Genomic DNA, 1,786 nt, shown 5'->3' with positions numbered 1-1,786 from the left:
CCATTTCCATGGGGAACCTGCTATGGCAGGGACAGAGGCAGGAGAACAAGTCCTCAAATAGGGAGGCCAGTGGGCATTTTCCTAAAGTATTAAAGCACTTTGGTGCTGTGCTTTACAAAACTGTTTGAGTGGCTGAATTGATTCTTCTCTCTCATTAGACTCAGAAAACCTCAGAAAAAAAATAAATGCAGATTTCTCCTCAGACTGATGGCTAAAGATCTAAATGTCTTCAGAGTTCAGCTCCGCCTTCAGGCACTGGAGGCCTGAAAAACATGGAGGAAGAGATGCAGGGATTTGAGAGAGAGATGCTCCTGGTGGAGGTGGTGAGGGGCCTGAAGGCAGTGGCAGGAGCGTCTTGGAGAAGGAGGATGGGGCTGAGGAGGGCCCTCAGGAAGAAAAAGTAAGGGCTGAGGGAAGTCAATAGTCAGTCAGGTGGGGACACTTGGGGCTCTGGATGTCAGGCAGGAGTTGGAGGAGGACATCCTGATAGAAGAAGCTGTGGTCTCAAGCTTCCTCTTGTTTTGATCTTAAGTGAACCCCCAGTAAATCAAGGTTTCTCTATTTTAGTTTGTTGCATGGATCTTAAAGTCAAAAGGATACAGCTGAAGCCAGAAACATCCCTGAGGTCCTTGCTGCTGGCCACCAAGGGCCTCCCGGGGAGAGGGGAGGTGGGGACTAGTCTCAGGCCTGGCCGTGTTCTGGGGCCTCTGCTGCCTGCAGTCTGGGGTAGATGAAAGCCCACCTTCTAGCCCTCTAATCAAGCAGGGCAGTAACCAGCACTCCCACTTTTGGATTAAAAAAATGGAGACATGGAGAAGTAGTGACTCACTCAAGGCCACCCAGCCAGGAAGTTGCAGGTCAAGGTAGGCACCCAGGGCTCGCATTCTTAGTTCAGGGTCCTTTGCACATTCCACATTGCTGGTTTTAAGAAAGAAGGGCCTGTGGATGCAGAGTTAAATGAGAAGAGAAAGCCTGAGTTCAGGATTACCTGTGGGGAGTGGCTTGGACTGTATTGGGGTCTCTCTGGTTTGCCTGGTACACTTAGCAAGAGAACACAAGCACTGCTCTGAATGTGAACTGACAAGCCCTGCACCCACCACCCACCCACCTCAGCCTCCACCACACACTCACTGACCTTATTTCCCTTTGACAAGGCACGCATGGTCTTCAATAATGCAGGCCCCCACCTAACACAGAAGATGCCTGTCACCCAAAAATAACTTGAAAAGCAGACAGAGGCAAGCAGATAAGCATTCAAAATCATTTATTTATAGCACAGAACACAAAGCCGTCAAAGAGACTTCAGGCAAGCGACAGCCACAGCACCCTTTGCAGGGCAGCTGAGGGAAAATGTGTCTCCAGATCTGGCCTGCCCAGGGTGGGTATGCTGAGAAGTGGAGGACGGAGCAAAGTATAAGGGTGAGGAGGGGAGAGAAGGAGCAAACACCAAGACCTCAGCCGAGTAGTAGATTCGAGAGCCTCAGCAGGAGATTTTTGGGAGACACAGAGATCCCCATCACTAGGGGGTTTATGCAGAAGCTGGGACCCCATAGGCTGTGTTGGTAGAATTTCTGCATGGGTTTGGAGATTTGGGAGGATCAGTGCTTTGTAACTCTGGTTATAGCTGAGAAAGACAACTTTTTGCTGGCTCATGCTCCATTCCTTCTGGGGAAAGTGGCACCTGTGGCTCTGTAACCCTCGGGTCCATGGCGTGGAAGTCAGTCTACATTCTAGATCAGACACTGCACTGACAACCTGTAAGTCCCCTTTCGACTCTGAGAATCTG

At 50.3% G+C, this 1,786-nt stretch overlaps 1 annotated feature.

The window, feature by feature from the left end:
• Window positions 1,142–1,342: a silencer, noted in NCBI's record as "peak365 fragment used in MPRA reporter construct". NCBI's record gives its function as "represses an SCP1 promoter by STARR-seq MPRAs in K562 erythroleukemia cells {active_cell/tissue: K562}" and the evidence as "EXISTENCE:reporter gene assay evidence [ECO:0000049][PMID:32103011]".

Source organism: Homo sapiens, chromosome 1 (assembly GCF_000001405.40).
Source record: "Homo sapiens chromosome 1, GRCh38.p14 Primary Assembly".
Taxonomy (NCBI): Eukaryota; Metazoa; Chordata; class Mammalia; order Primates; family Hominidae; genus Homo; species Homo sapiens.
Note: the sequence above shows the minus strand (reverse complement) of the source record. Positions and strands in the feature narration are given on the sequence as shown.